Source organism: Homo sapiens, chromosome 4 (genome assembly GCF_000001405.40).
Source record: "Homo sapiens chromosome 4, GRCh38.p14 Primary Assembly".
Classification (NCBI taxonomy): domain Eukaryota; kingdom Metazoa; phylum Chordata; class Mammalia; order Primates; family Hominidae; genus Homo; species Homo sapiens.
The window spans coordinates 133,253,253-133,269,408 of NC_000004.12; the positions used below are offsets into that span (position 1 = coordinate 133,253,253).

A 16,156-nucleotide genomic window follows, 5' to 3' on the forward strand; every position below is an offset into this window, starting at 1 on the left:
TTGATAATTACTTTGGCTACTGGGTAAAGGATGGATAAAGGATGGATTGAGTGGCTGATAAGGGTTATTAGGTCCAGGGACGCCAGTTTGAAGGATTTTGTTGTCTCACCAGTTTGTAGGTGTTACAGTGGTCAGAACAGAATAGTAGCAACAGACATTGAGAAAATAAAAGAGCATAGGAAGAAATTTTAGAGGTAAAATTAATAGAAATTAATAATTGTATTAGGAATTAAAAATGAAAACACCAATGAATCCAAAATATACACTTAAGTTACAGGGCCTTTCTCTGTCATAAGGAGCATTGAAGGTAAAATAGTACAGTAAATGAAGTGTGTATGAGAATTTGACAGTAAATATTTAATAAGATTTAGACAGAAGAGTAACATTGTATAGAGCATAGAGATAAGTAAAGATCCCATGTGTTGTCTGCATAGACATACATAGAATACCTAACGTCCAAGGCCTAGGCCAAGACAGGATAGAAGAGGTCAATAGTGTTCTTAATAAAGATTTCAACTTATGTTTACATGTATATATAAAATATATATTATATATATTATTTATTATTATTATATATTAATAATATATATTATTTTGAACTTAACTCTCGAATTAAGCCAAAACAAACTGACTATATATAATATATATTATATGTATATATCAAAATTCAGTGTCTGTTATTAATGTTTGTTAAGTAATCGGAAACAAAACACACTGGAAACAAAACACACTGTTTCCCTCTCATGAGGGAAAACAGGCATCACAAAGCTAATCAGCCACACTGAAGTCACACCATTGATCAAGTAACATAACCACTGAAGGTCTTTTCGTAGCACAGAATGAAACTAACAAATAGCCCTGAAAACAGGATCTTGTCATCGATTATTGTAGTTGAAAAGGCTGGGCCGGGCGCGGTTGCTCACACCTGTAATCCCAGCACTTTGGGAGGCCGAGGTGAGTGGATCGCAAAGTCAGAAGTTGGAGACCAGCTTGGCCAACATGGTGAAACCCTGTCTCTACTAAAAGTGAAAAAATAGCCGGGTGTGATGGCGCACGCCTGTAATCCCAGCTACTCGGGAGCCTGAGGCAGGAGAATCGTTGGAACCCGGGAGGCGGAGGTTGCGGTGAGCCGAGATTGCGCCACTGCATTCCAGCCTGGGCCACAGAGCAAGACTCCGTCTCAAAAAAAAAAGAAAAGAAAAAAGAAAAGGTCACACAAGGGAATGAATCAAACTTTCTATGCAGTACCAGAATCTCTAAAGAATGTTGACAAATTGTTAGACTGTACGTGTTTTATTTCTAAAACCCAACATCTGCTACATCCAAAACTTCCTCCCAATTATAAACTGGAAATGCTACCCAAACCAAAAGTTAAATTAATTTGGTGAAAAAAAATTGTTTTTTGATAAACTCGTGTTGACTACTGAATCAACTATGGAAGCAGTACTCAAATTACTATGGAACAGGAAAGAGAGAAAATATAAGTTGCCATCACTTGATATGGACTTCTCTTGAGAATACAAACATGGTTCCAACAATATTTTAATGGCAAATAATGAAATATTAGATTTCATATTTAGTTTTAACCTAGTCCATCTAGAGTATTGAATACTATATGTTGTGTATAGTATAAAATACTGAACATTTGATCATTAAAGAACTCTGTAATAAATAATTTAAAAGTCAATGTTATGCTTCAATTTGTGTTAATATATGCACATTTAAATACATTTACACATCAGAAACTTTTGACATGTAAAGTAATTTAATATTAAATGATATCATTGGGTCACAATCAAGAGAATTTACATAGTAAGTTACAAAGAGACTCATAATGAAATATACCTTCCTTAGAAGGCAGTTTTCTTAGGTCTAGGCCCTGCAGATAGCATTATAATGAGTCTCTATAACAAATATATTTTAACATAAAGTATTTGAAAAATAGACACCTTCATCCTGTTCCCAGCTGCTATATTTCATATACTTACGGCCCTTTGGGGCTGGTGATGCACAGGTTAAGTACTGAAATCCATAACTTTATATATTTTTTAGCATCTTGTACATAAACAAAAATAAAGGTTTACAAGTCTTGCATTTTAATATTAAAGTGGTAAATTGTGAAAAAAACAAAAGTAATTCTTCATCACAAACATACATACTTTAATTTGTTCATATTTAGAGTTTAATTTGATATGCACTATAATTTATTGGTTGCTATAGATAATACTGTACAAGGAACAAAAAGATATTCTTATATTTTTTACTAGTTTTACATTAGCCTTCTTAGTTAGATGGGATTAATATTTTAGCTTCTCTTCACTTTTCATATCCAGATTCGGCAGACAATAGAATGTACATGTTAGTGTGAAAAAGGGAACTATCTGGGTTTGAGTAAGGCTTCTATTACATTGTGTAAATGATGATAGTGAATAACTTAGACATTTGGCTCCAGCTGAAAAATATTCTTAATTCAGAAAAATATCCAGATTTCTTAAATGTTCACCAAAATACTTTTTCTCATTTAGATAGAGGGCAAATGGCCACTATGACAATAGTGTGGGTACTGTTATCACACCCTTAACTTGCATTTAAATATCAGATCAGCTATCACGTAATAACTAATTAATGGTATACACAGTTGTCTTGATAAATAAATTATATTTCTAATATATATAAATATAAATTATAAGATTTAATACGAATGTAAATTAATTTAATAGTAATACTAATTAAATAGTAATGCTAGCAGGCAGTTCTGCTTTCACCTTTTATATGGCTGGACTTTATTAATCTAATTATTTTAAGCTTTTCAGTTTTAATTTAGTCAAAGGATTCTTTAAAGAATTTTGGCTTAACAAATATCAATATGTTTTAGCCTTGGTAATTTTATCTAGTTTATCCTTATGAAATATAAGCTATTTTAGTATCTTCACTTTAAAAGTGAAGAAACTAAAGATCAGCGAGCTTAAAGTATCTTGCCCAAGGCCACAGAACTATAAAATGGAAGATAAGACTCTAAGCATAGGCCTTTTATTCACATCCAGTACAATTTCCATAGAAATTTGACTGCCTTGGTAAAGTAATTCATTTTTGTGATAGTCATATTATAATTAGAATACTAACTTGTTGTTTTTTTTTTTTTGAGACAGAGTCTCGCTGTCGCCCAGGCTGGAATGCAGTGGCGCGATCTCGGCTCACTGCAGGCTCCGCCCCGCGGGGTTCACGCCATTCTCCTGCCTCAGCCTCCCGAGTAGCTGGGACTACAGGCGCCCGCCACCTCGCCTGGCTAATTTTTTGTATTTTTAGTAGAGACGGGGTTTCACCGTGTTAGCCAGGATGGTCTCGATCTCCTGACCTCGTGATCCGCCCGCCTCAGCCTCCCAAAGTGCTGGGATTACAGGCATGAGCCACCGCGCCTGGCCAGAATACTAACTTGTTAACTTATTTTAAATGGTAACATCAAGTGAAACAAAATACTGATAGCTAATGAGTTCTTTCTTTCCCTGCTAAAGACCATATTTCTTTCTTTTAATGACTATCAAGTGTTAAGTTTCAAAAGATGCTTTCATGAGACTATAGCAACTTAAATTTTCATTTTTTTCTCATGCAGATATAAGTGCAAAATCAGGCCTATATATAGTGTACTGTCCTTAATAAATTGGTGTAACATTTAAGGTGGCTTAAGTTTCTGTTCAACTTAATTTTTTTTTAAGTAACGCTTGCACATTGATCAAAATTCCTTCTTACCTCCACTTCTCTCGAACTCCAACTTTTGGACATTCCTATTAAAAAGCTGCTGATAGATCTTTAGTATAATTGGAAAATTTTAAATAACTTAAAAAAATCCAAAACAATAGCTGAACAACCAAAATAAATTCACAAGAGATTAACAACTCAATCAGCTATTGTTAAACACCAATATATAATTCTGGAAACAATGAAAAAGAAGGCCACAATTCTAACAGCTAGGGAATAATCTTGAGAACCCAGAAAATCGGAGACAGATCTCAGTTAATTTAAAAGTTTATTTTGACAAAGTTGAGGACACACCCATGACAGCCTCAGGAAATCCTGATGACATGTGCCCAAGGTAGTCGGGGCACAGTTTGGTTTTGTATATTTTAGGCAGACATGAAATATCAATCAATATATGTAAGGAGTCCATTATTTCTGTCCAGAAAAACAGAAACAACTTAAAGCAAGCCCAATCAGAATATGCATCTATCTCTGTGAGCAGAGGGATTACATTGAATAGAATGCAAGGGAGATTTGCCCTGAGTGGTTTCCAGCTTGAAGGGGCCCAAGATATTTTCTTTTCACATTTCCCCCCTTTTCTTTTTTCAAATCTTTTGTAGAAAGCATTTTACAAAAAAATAAATCTCTGGCTTCAGGTTTCATCTGATCTCTCATGGCTAGGATGGTTTATTTCTAGATGAGTAGGTCCCAAAAGCTCATTTTTAGCAGATTGTGAAGTCTCATGTCCTGTGAAGAGAAAATAGAGGGGAGAAAGGGAGAAAAAACAACAACAAACGAACAATCCTGGAAAAATTGATATAGGCCACATTACTCTGAAGTCCATACATTAGTAGGCAGGTATGAAAGTGGTTTATGTATGTAAATGGGTTGCTTTTATTTTCTTTTAAGTTTAAGTTGTCTGGCTTCAGTTTGCAGGGTTTCAAGAAAGCACAGCTTAGTTTTCAGTGACTTCAAATTAGGAAAAATGGAAAAAAAGGAGAAAAAATTAAAAACATTATTTTGAAGAGTTGTAGCCTAGAAAAATTACAATTCAGTCCAAACTGTAGAAAATAATAAACACTGAAAAATAAAACATTAGGCAAGACTAGAATCTAACAATAGGCATACAATCATTTTAAAACATAATTTTTTTTTCTCAAGTTTCTCATTTTACTAAAGACAAATCATAGTAGAAATGGTTTGCTTACTATACTTGGCCTAATTATTTGTATACAGCACAGCAAGCATAATTATTTTTTACATAGGCTTTTAAATTGGCTTTGATGGAACTTTGTTCCATAGGATGAATCTCAGACAAGACTTTTTAAAGCCAAGCCCAGCCATGACTTTGTGCCATCAAATACCTATGAACTGGGTGAATTACCTCTCCTCTTGAGGTTCCAAGATGAACCTGGGGGTTTCTGTGCCTGTCAGAAAGTAACATTCTTCACTTACCACAGGTCAGAACCCCTGCACATGGACTGTGTACATAAAACATGAGGCCAGTTTTTCAAAAGGGCTTTATTGGCTCCATAAGTCAAGTTTATTCTTTAAAGGAAAGTACATCATTCCAGTCAAAGCCTTGGTAAAATAATTTCTCCAATTGTGTCCTGTTACAAATGAAAATATATTCTAATTACACTTATGCAAATAACTGTATTGCCATAAGTTAACAATAGTCACAAATAGTTTCCAAATTCCAAAGGTAGAAAGAAACAAATATGCTCCAAATTTTATTCATAAGAAGTATACTAAATTGTTAAAAGCTGTCAATAGCTCAAAAGAAAAGTTCTGAAAAATAAAAAAAAGGATCAGCAAACATTTTAAGCAAAAGTCAAAAAGATTGGTTCCATCCATGAAGTTAATTCCTGTTCTGCTTGAGACTCATGAACATTTTAGCTCTTCATGAGTCCTGAAAGCTTTTCCTCTATTCTGATGTCACTATCCCCAAAGTTATCAGAAACCTGCATTTCAGAGCACCTGTTGGAGTTTTATAGCTGATTATAAAACCACCTTCTAAAGAGGCCCAAATAAGACAACAATTGTCCATGAATGAAAAAAAAGTTTTAAGGCAGCCATAGTTCAAAGACACAATTGACAAGGAAATTTGTTAACTCTGTGGCACACAATAATTTTAACATAACAATTATGATTACTGATAATGTACACTGTTATATCAGAATTATAGGAGTTTCTCATAATTTTGGAACACATACCAATAACATATTCCTACAAATACAACCCAAAGAAAACCAAACAACATTTCATGTTTGACAAATGCTTTCTGTAAAATTTTTATACCAAATAAGCCAACATATGTGATTTTTGGACTTTAGGAAATCTAATGTCTTAAAGGTTTAATTAGATTAGAAAAAGACATAATTTATAATTTAGTTTTGGGAAGTTCATCAAATATAAAAGGTTTAAAACACTTGGTATTACAAAAGAGGATTACAGGTCATTGTAAAGTCATTTATTTAACCAAAGTGATAACTCGAGGATTAAAAAAAAAAAAAAAAAAAGATGAAGACCTTCATTCTTTGAGATAGGAGACTTACTTTTCTAAACAAGCCCTAATAAAAATAGCAAGAAGCCAATTACTTTTCTTTTCCAAAATTTTGTAAACAATCTATAAAATTTAATCTTGATTATAAAATATAGCTTCCATAGGCCTTTTATAACCTTTATTAAGGAGTTGGTTAATGCTTCAAGAAAATCTTGTTAATCTGACACAGGGGGCCATATACTGGTTTTGCATCAGTGTGCCTTTGACACTAATGATTAATTTATAGAGAAACTGAATATATTTTATTTTTCAAAATCGGCCCTTGTAATCTTACATGTCCACCACTTCCATGATAGTCACTGGGCCTTGAGGAACTTAATAGCTTTAATTCTTTTGCCCTATGTCTCAGGAATGCAGTTTATTTTGATTGGCATCTTCTACAGGGCCTGAAGATGAGGCTTTAATTGCTGTCAGTGTTTAAGATTTAGCAGGACTTGGTGTCCTTTTTAGACTTAGGAGTTAAAGCCCGTAACTCAGTATTATAAGGACTTTAAAAGCACATACAGGAAGATACATGGATGTAATAGCCTTAATTAAAAAAAACATTGTATCTCACTTTTGTTAAGCAAACCAAAACTTAATAATAATATGACAATTTAATTACATAATTTAAAAAATATATATAAATCTTCTTATTGTGACTTACACTTACTGTTCATCACATGTTCAGACTTTTTGGTTTTCCTGAACATCCCTCCTTTTTAAACAACCAGTTATTTTATTTTAGGACTAAATTTACCACAGAAGATTATTTCTTAAATAAAATTATTTATCTTTAAGCTTTTTTACCTCAAAAAACAAAAACCTCTTAATTTTTACAACTTTCTTTACATATTTTTTTTACTCCTGGTTCCTTTTACCTTGTTTTATACATAATCTTTAAATAAACTTTGAATTAATCAAAACTTGTTCACCTTTTTTTAAAAAAGGACACTTTCTTTTAGCAAGAATGTTTTCCTACAGTATATATTTATTGGAAAATACTCAAATAATGAAATATCTATCATTTAATTTAATATAACCATATATTCTAAATTAAGACCAGTTTGACTACAAGTATTTATTCCATTACATTTACTTATTTTATTGTAATTGTTTATCTAGATTATTTATGAAAACTGTGATAGTCATGATTTAAAGTTATGAAACTACCATTGGAAAATTATAATTGAGGCGGTGAAAAAAGATTGGACCTAACTGACTCCGTCTTGCTCTTAACATCCAAACTGTCCTTGTTCATTCCTGGGCATAGGCCAAAGTAACTTTGAGAGGAACTTAAAGTTTAGCTTTGAAACAAAGACAATAAGAGTCCTTTCCCAAAATAAACCTCTTTATTGGCTGTGAACCAAACTGCCTAAAACCACAGGATTAGAAGTTAAGGTAATCTTACTAAATTCAAGATGCAGCTATTTTCATTAAACCCATATAAATGTCTAATTTATTAAAAATTACACAAAGATCATTCTGATTTGGGCTGGGTTTATAGTTTTGTGTCTCCTATGCCAAATTTTGACACAAATATATTTGACAGAGATGAGTATAAAATTTACTTGATTAATAAATGCAACACAAATATATGTTGGTTATTCCTTAAGACACTTTTAATATTACTTTACCAATAATTTTAAAGCTAGCTTATTTATTAAAGATTTTACTTAAGTTACATAAACTTGAAAAAGCATTTGACTAGTCGTTTCTTTTTTAGTAGCTGATTTAAGTGCTTTTATTTTCTTTAAGCCAATTAATTAGAGCTCTTTTATATATTTTTAGCAGTGAAACATTTTGTACAGAACATATAAATACATGTCAATGTATATTAGGCATGACCATAGAAGTACATTTTATAGGTTTATAAAGAAACGCCCACCCTATTTTTTTTTTTTCTATCTTAGACTTTCAGATTCTTGATAACCTCTTTCACAATCCTAGGCAGTTGTCAGCTAAATAGCCTTAAATTTGCACATTAAAGGAAACAACTCAGGTGAAAATCAAATAGCAAAATTTGCATCATAAGGTACAGAGAGAAGAAAATCTGGTGGTGCTAGAGGGAGATGCTTTTATTTTTCTTTGAGCCAAATTATACATAAAATTAAACTACACTTTTTTTTTTTTTGTGATGGAGTCTTGCTCTGCAGCCCAGGCTGGAGTGCTGTGGCATGACCTTGGTTCACTGCAACCTCACCTCTTGGGTCCCGGTTCAAACAATTCTCCTGCCTCAGCCTCCTGAGTAGCTGGGATTACAGGCACGCACCACCATGCCCAGCTAATTTTTGTATTTTTAGTAGAGATGAGGTTTCACCAGGTTGTCCATGCTGGTCTTGAACTCCTGACCTCGTGATCCTCCCGCCTCGGTGTCCCAAAGTGTTGGGATGACAGGCATGAGCCACCACGCGCAGCCACACTCTTTCTTGAAAACCAAAGAGTAGCCTCTGTTGCAATAGCTATTTTAGAAAAAAAAAAAAATCAGGTGAAAACAGAATTCAGTCAACTAAGAAAAAGAAAAAGAAAAAACTTTTGCTCAAAAAAAAAAAGAAAAAGGTATTAGAGAAAAACACAAACATGAAGGCCTTTCAAATACAAACTTGCACACAGACACTCATACATCTTGGATGCTAGCCTTTTAATTAAGTTGGCTTTTAATCACTGAGCTCCTTAAAAAATTTTTTTTGAAAATCTTATTACCATATTTCAGCTAGGACAAAATGCTTCTATTTCAGAAGTACAGCCATTGCTCTTTCAGTTTGGTCTGCCTGGCATAAAGGTGCCCTTATTATGTAAATAAAGCCCCTTAAGCAGTTAAAATTAAAATCTTTTCTTTTTTTTTTTTCTATTTTGCTAGCTGTTTTCCTCCCATTTCAGAGGCCTTGTTCCCTACAATTTAGGGTTCCCCTTTGGATTTGACCAAGACAGAAACAAACAACAAAACAGTTCAGCAAAACTACCAATGAACACACAAATTATACGATTTCTGAGGGCTCTAAGTGTAAGCAGAAATTAACACCAGCTGGTTGTTAAATGCTAAATTTAGTCATTTAAAAGCAACCTGCAAGACAGAATCCCAAACCAGTTTCTTACCTGGTGATGGGTCTCAGGCTGTAGACCGCTCTCTACCATCCTAGAAGAAGGAAAAAAAAAACCTCATCTTCCCTGTTGGAAGCAAGCTCAAACTCCATAAAGGAGTTGTCTGCCTTCCATCATCATGGAAGCAAGAAAACCTGCCTTCCTGTTGGAAGCAAGTAAAACTCCCTCAAAAAGAGGAGTTGTACAGCAAAATAAACTTTTGATCTCAACCAAATTTTTGGAGCTCAGGGATTCTCTGGAGGGGGTGCACGGCAAATTGTCCTATTGGTTTGAACCATAAAGTTAGCTCATGCTGGTACCAAGCACCAACAGGATATTTGTCAAAGGTCAGGGGTATCTCCACTCAGAATCCCCCTGTGGTTACCAAAATGTGAACCCAGAAAATCTGAGACAAGTCTCAGTTAATTTAGAAAGTTTATTTTGCCAAGGTTGAGGGTGTGCACCCATGACACAGCCTCAGGAATCCTGATGACATATGCCCAAGGTAGTCAGGGCACAGTTTGGTTTTATACATTTTAGGGAGACACAAAACATCAATCAATATATGGAAGAAGTACGTTAGTTCCTCCAGAAAGGTGGAGAAAACTGAAAGCAAGCCCTCCCCCCGCCCCCTCTCCCTCCCCTCAGGGGCTTCCAGGTCACTGGTAGGTGAGAGACAGATGGCTGTGCCTCTATCTCTGTGAGCAGAGGGATGACTTCGAATAGAATGGAGGCAGATTTGCCCTGAGCAGTTCCCAGCTTGAAGGGGCCCAAGATATTTTCCTTTCACAATCTTAACCCTTAAACTGTTTTTTTTAAAGAAAAAATGTGCATGATTGGTGTTTAGTTTGAAAGAGATAAGCATTATTAGTCATTTCTGTGACCTTCAACAAGTCACTTAATCATATTGTGCCTCAATTTCCTCATATATAAAAAAGTGGTAATAATAATATTGTAGGAGCCAATGAAAAACCACCAAACAGGTTTTGTGTGAGCAATAAAGCTTTTAATCACATGGGTGCAGGCGGGCTGAGTCCGAAAAGAGTCAGTGAAGGGAGATAGGGGTGGGGCTGTTTTATAGGATTTGGGTAGGTAAAGGAAAAAGGGGGGTTGTTCTCTGGTGGGCAGGAGTGGGAGTCACAAGGTGCTCAGTAGGGGAGCTTTTGAGCCAGGATGAGCAAGGAGAAGGAATTTCACAAGATAATGTCATCAGTTAAGGCAGGAACAGGCCATTTTCACTTCTTTTGTTGTGGAATGTCATCAGTTAAGGCAGGAACCAGCCATTTGGATGTGTACCTGCAGGTCACAGGGGATGTGATGGCTTAGCTTGGGCTCAGAGGCCTGACATTCCTATCTTCTTATATTAATAAGAAAAATAAAATGAAATAGTGGTAAAGTGTTGGGGTGGCGAAAATTTTTGGGGGTGGTATGGAGAGATAATGGGCGATGTTTCTCAGGGCTGCTTCAAGTGGGATTAGGGGCGGCGTGGGAACCTAGAGTGGGAGAGATTAAGCTGAAGGAAGATTTTGTGATAAGGGGTGATATCATGGGGTTGTTAGAAGAAACCTTTGTCTTATAGAATTATTGGTGATGGCCTGGATACAATTTTGTATGAATTGAAAAAACAATGGAATAAGATAAGGAGAAAAACAGGTATTAAAGGACTAAGAATTGGGAGGACCTACGACATCTAACTAGAGAGTGCCTAAGGAGGTTCAGCATAGCCCTGCCAGCAAAGATTATTTATTTACTTTAAGAGGGAGTTAAGAGTGGCAGTTTGGGGATAGCACCAGCAGATATCAGCTGTGGTGGCTTGGAGAAACAGTGTAAACAGGCAGTGTAAACAAGAGCAGGGCATTTATGAGTAGTTGACAACGGTGAATAGGAGTATGACTAGACAGAAGATAGTAGAGATAACAGTTTTATTTTTTTTTGGTGGGGGCGCAGTCCCAGTTGGTCTAGTGTCTGGAATGAGACTGGGGCCTAATAAAAAGGAGCATCTATACAGGAGCTCAAATGGCCTGTACCTTGTAGCATTCCGAGGACAGGCCTGAATTCTGAGAAGGGCAAGTGGTAAAAGTATTGTCCAGTCCTTTTTAAGTTGGTAGCTGAGCTTGGTGAGGTGTGTTTTTAAAAGACCATTAGTTCACTGAATACTAAGAGCCTGAGAAACTGCTTGGGTGATTTAACTAATAAAGGCCGGTCCATTACAGGACTGTATAGAGGTGGGAAGGCCAAACCGAGGAATTGTGTCTGACAGAAGGGAAGAAATGACCGTGGTGGCCTTCTTAGACCCTGTGGGAAAGGCCTCTACCTATCCAGTCAAAGTGTCTACCCAGACCAAGAGATATTTTAGTTTCCTGACTCAGGGCGTGTTGAGTAAAGCCAATTTGCCAGTCCTGGGCAGGCAAATCCCCAAGCTTGATGTGTAGGGAAGGGAGGGGGCCTAAATAATCTCTGAGGAGTAGGAGAATAGCAGATGGAAGATTGAGGAGTTATTTCTTTGAGAATAGATTTCCACGATGGAAAGGAAATCAGAGGTTCTAAGAGGCAGGCTAGTGGCTTGTACTATAGCATAGCCTGCCTTTGCTGGTGTGTGGCGATTAGGCCTGGTGGAACTGCCATCAATAAACCAAGTGTGATCAGGGTGAGGAACAGGAAAGAAGGAAATATGGGGAAATGGGGTGAATGTCAGGTGGATCAGAGAGATATAGTCATGGGGGTCAGCTGTGGTATCAGGAATAATGTGGGAGGCTGGATTGAAGTCTGGGCCAGGAAAAATGGTAATTGTGGGAGACTCAACAAAGAGTGAGTACAGCTGAAGGAGCCGGGGAGCAGAGAGTATATATGTCAGGTGTGAGGAAGAAAATAGATTTTGGAAGTTATGAGAACTGTAGAGAGTGAGTTGAGCATAGTTTGTGATTTTAAGGGCCTCTAAAAGTATTAGGGTGGTGGTGGCCGCTGCACGCAGACTTGCGGGCTAGGCAAAACAGTAAGGTCAAGTTGTTTGGATAAAAAGGCTACAGGGTGCAGTCCAGGTCCCTGTGTAAGAATTCTGACTGCACAGCCCTGCACTTCGGCTGTGGGTAATGAAAAGGGTTGGGATGAGTCAGGGAGAGCTGGGTAGGGGCAGTCTCTAAAGCTGTCTTCAAGGAATGGAAAGAGGAGTGGGGAAAGGATTTAGGATCTATGGGGTCAGCTTTTGTGAGTTTATATAATGGTTTTGTTAGGATGGCAAAACCAGATATCTAAAGTTGAAAGTATCCAACTATGCCTAGGAAGGAAAGGAGTTGTTGTTTTGTAGAAGGGATTGAGGTTTGGGAGATTAGTCGGACATGATCAGCAGGGAGAGCACGTGTGTTTTTATGAGAATTATGCCGAGATAGGTAACAGATGAGGATGAAATTTGGGCTTGACTGAAGTAATGGGGGCTGTCTGTGAAGCCTTGCGGCAGTACAGCCCAGGTAATTTGCTGAGCCTGATGGGTGTCAGGGTCAGTCTAAGTGAAAGCGAAGAGAGGCTGGGATGAAGGGTGCAAAGGAATAGTAAAGAAAGTATGTTTGAGATCCAGAACAGAATAATGGATTGTGGAGGGAGGTATTGAGGATAGGAGAGTATATGGGTTGGGCACCATGGGGTGGATAGGCAAAACAATTTGGTTGATAAGGCGCAGATCCTGAACTAACCTGTGAGGCTTGTCTGGTTCTAGGACAGGTAAAATGGGGGAATTGTAAGGAGAGTTTATAGGCTTTAAAAGGCCATATTGTAGCAGGCGAGTGATAACAGGTTTTATCCTTTTAAAGCGTGCTGTGGGATGGGATACTGGCATTGAGTGGGGTAAGGGTGATTAGGTTTTAATGAGATGGTAAGGGGTGCATGACGGGTCGCCAAGGAGGGAGTAGAGGTATCCTATACTTGTGGGTTAAGGTAGGGGGATACAAGAGGAGGACACAAAGGAGGCTTTGGATTGGGAAGAAGGGCGGCAATGAGATGTGGCTGTAGTCCAGGAATAGTCATTGAAACAGATAATTTAGTTAAAGTGTCTCGGCCTAAGAAGGGAACTGGGCAGGTGGGGATAACTAAAAAGGAGTGCTTAAAAGAGTATTGTCTAAGTTGGCACCAGAGTTGGGGAGTTTTAACAGGTTTAGAAGCCTGGCTGTCAATATCCATTATAGTTGTGGAGGCAAGAGAAACAGGCACTTGAAAAGAAGGTAATGTGGAGTGGGTAGCCTCCATATTGATTAAGAAGGGGACGGACTTACCCTCTACTGTGAGAGTTACCTAAAGCTCGGTGTCCCTGATGGTCTACGGGGCTTCCGAGGTGATAGGGCAGCGTCAGTCTTCAGCTGCTAAGTGGAGAAGATCAGGGAAGGAGTCAGTCAGAGAGCCTCGGGCCAGAGTTCCAGGGGCTCTGGGAGTGGCTGCCAGGTGAGTTGAACAGTCCGATTTTCAGTGGGGTCCCATACAGATGGGACGCGGCTTAGGAGGAATCCCGGGCTGCGGGCATTCCTTGGCCTGGTGGCCAGATTTCTGGCATGTGTAGCAAGCTCCTGGGGGAGGCGGTTCTGGAGGAACACCTGGCCACTGCGGCTTAGGCGTTTGGAAGTTCTTGTGTGCTGGAGATGTGGCTGTGGTTTGTCTCACAGTGGAGGCAAGGAATTGCAACTCAGAAATATGTTGCTACTTGGCTGTCTCTACTCTATTATTGTACATCTTGAAGGCGAGGTTAATTAAGTCCTGTTGCGGGGTTTGAGGGCCGGAATTTAATTTTTGGAGTTTTATTTAATGTCGGGAGCAGATTGGGTAATAAAATGTATATTGAGAATAAGACAGCCTTTTGACATTTTAGGGTCTAGGGCTGTAAAGCATCTCACGGTTGCTGCCAAATGAGCCATGAACTGGACTGGGTTTTTATATTTGATGAAAAAGAGCCTAAACGCTATCTGATTTGGATAAAGAAAAAGGAGCATTAACCTTGACTATGCCTTTAGCTCCAGCCACCTTTTTAAGAGGAAATTGCTGGGCAGGTGGGGGAGGGCTAGTCACCGAAGGAAACTGTAAACCGGACCGGGTGTGAGGAGGGGAGGTGATAAAAGGATTACAGGGTGGAGGAGGAGAGGCTGAGGAAGAATTGGGACCTAGCTCAGCCTGGCGAGGAGGAGAGAGGTCAGATGGGTCTGTAGAAAAGGAAGATTAGAAAGACTCAGCGACGCTTGGGGTTGGGACTGAGGGGACAGGCAGGAGGGAAAGAGGGAAGATTTGGGATGAGTTGCACTGGGAACAGAGACCAGGGAGGGATCAATGTGTAAATGAATGCCTGGACATCAGGCACCTCAGACCACTTGCCCATTTTATGACAAGAATTATTTAGATAGTGTAGGATGGAAAAATTGAAAGTGCAATTTTCTGGCTATTTGGAACTACTGTCGAGTTTGTATTGGGGTCAAGTGGCATTGCAGAAGAAAATAAGGCATTTAGGTTTTAGGTCAGGTGTGAGTTGAAGAGGTTTTAGGTTTTTAAGAACACAGGCTAAGGGAGAAGGGGGAATGGAGGGTAGAAGCTTGCCCATAGTGAAGGATGCAAGCCCAGAGGAAAGAGAGAGTAGAGACACGGAGGGAAGGGGTTCGGGGGTTCTTACCCTCCAGAAAAGTGTGGAAGGCATCGGGGTGTGGAAATAAGGAGTTGGGGAGCAGAGATAAGAGGTCGGGGCGTGGAAATAAGGGATCGGTGATCAGAGATAAGACGTCAGGGCGCGGAAATAAGGGATGGGGCACAGAGATAAGGGGTCGGGGCATAGAAATAAGGGATCGGGGCACAGAGATAAGGGGTCGTGGAAGGGGTCATGGTCAGCACTCTGGACTCTGAATCCAGCGATCTGAGTCACGGCACCAAGTTTCATGCGCGTCTGTGTGAAGAGACCACCAAACAGGCTTTGTGTGAGCAATAAACTTTTAATCACATGGGTGCAGGCAGGCTGAGTCCGAAAAGAGAGTCAGGGAAGGGAGATAGGGGTGGGGCCGTTTTATAGGATTTGGGTAGGTAAAGGAAAAAGGGGGGTTGTTCTCTGGCAGGCAGGAGTGGGGGTCACAATGTGCTCAGTAGGTGAGCTTTTAAGCCAGGATGAGTGAGAAGAAGGAATTTCACAAGATAATGTCATCAGTTAAGGCAGGAACAGGCCATTTTCACTTCTTTTGTGGTGGAATGTCATCAGCTAAGGCAGGAACCGGCCATCTGGATGTGTACGTGCAGGTCACAGGGGATGTGATGGCTTAGCTTGGGCTCAGAGGCCTGACAATCACCCTCTGAAAGTCCATTGAAAATCAACTGGAGAAAAGCAGATTAATAGGAGAAAAAGTATACAACATTTTACAGGAGAGCATTCTCTTGAGGAGCAACCAATAATTATTAAAGGGAATAAGTGGACAGAATTCACTTGTAAGTTATTCTCTTTATTGAATAAGTCCAAGTGGCAAGCATTATTTTGTGAAAAAGTCTCTCCAGATGCATTTGCATTCCAGTCTTCTTTTCTGACATAGATCATACGATTTCACGAAGAAGAGAAACAATTGTGTTTCTTTTGGAGAGATTTGTTGGTAAGATGTAAAAGTCGAAAAGAAAACCCCTCTCTGCACTTGGGAGTTGGGGGACACCAGACAAAATTAGAGGTACCTGGATTCTAAGAAAGCTTCTAAGGCCTTCAGCATGTTGAAGTGCCAGTCTTTCTTTCTGAGTCCCAACAGTATCTGCCTCGTTGTGAATATTAAAAGGAAGTACTTTAGAACACGATCCAACACA

The 16,156-nt window shown here is 38.5% G+C and overlaps 1 long non-coding RNA gene across 1 annotated transcript, besides 2 other annotated features; it reads right to left on the minus strand.

Annotated features, from left to right (window-relative positions):
• Positions 1-5,241: 5,241 nt before the first annotated feature.
• On the minus strand, positions 5,242-9,863 carry LOC124900863 (uncharacterized). The gene is made up of 2 exons (XR_007058481.1): positions 9,377-9,863; positions 5,242-8,742 (listed from the first exon to the last, which is right to left on the minus strand). It is a non-coding gene; the product is annotated as an uncharacterized LOC124900863 (long non-coding RNA).
• Positions 10,020-10,717: an enhancer, noted in NCBI's record as "OCT4-NANOG-H3K27ac hESC enhancer chr4:134184427-134185124 (GRCh37/hg19 assembly coordinates)". NCBI's record gives its function as "activates a minimal SCP1, AML or CMV promoter by ChIP-STARR-seq in primed H9 embryonic stem cells {active_cell/tissue: H9 hESC(primed)}" and the evidence as "EXISTENCE:reporter gene assay evidence [ECO:0000049][PMID:30033119]".
• Positions 14,982-15,276: an enhancer, noted in NCBI's record as "tiled region #13606; K562 Activating DNase matched - State 18:Pol2". NCBI's record gives its function as "activates a minimal TATA promoter and a strong SV40 promoter by Sharpr-MPRA in K562 cells {active_cell/tissue: K562}" and the evidence as "EXISTENCE:reporter gene assay evidence [ECO:0000049][PMID:27701403]".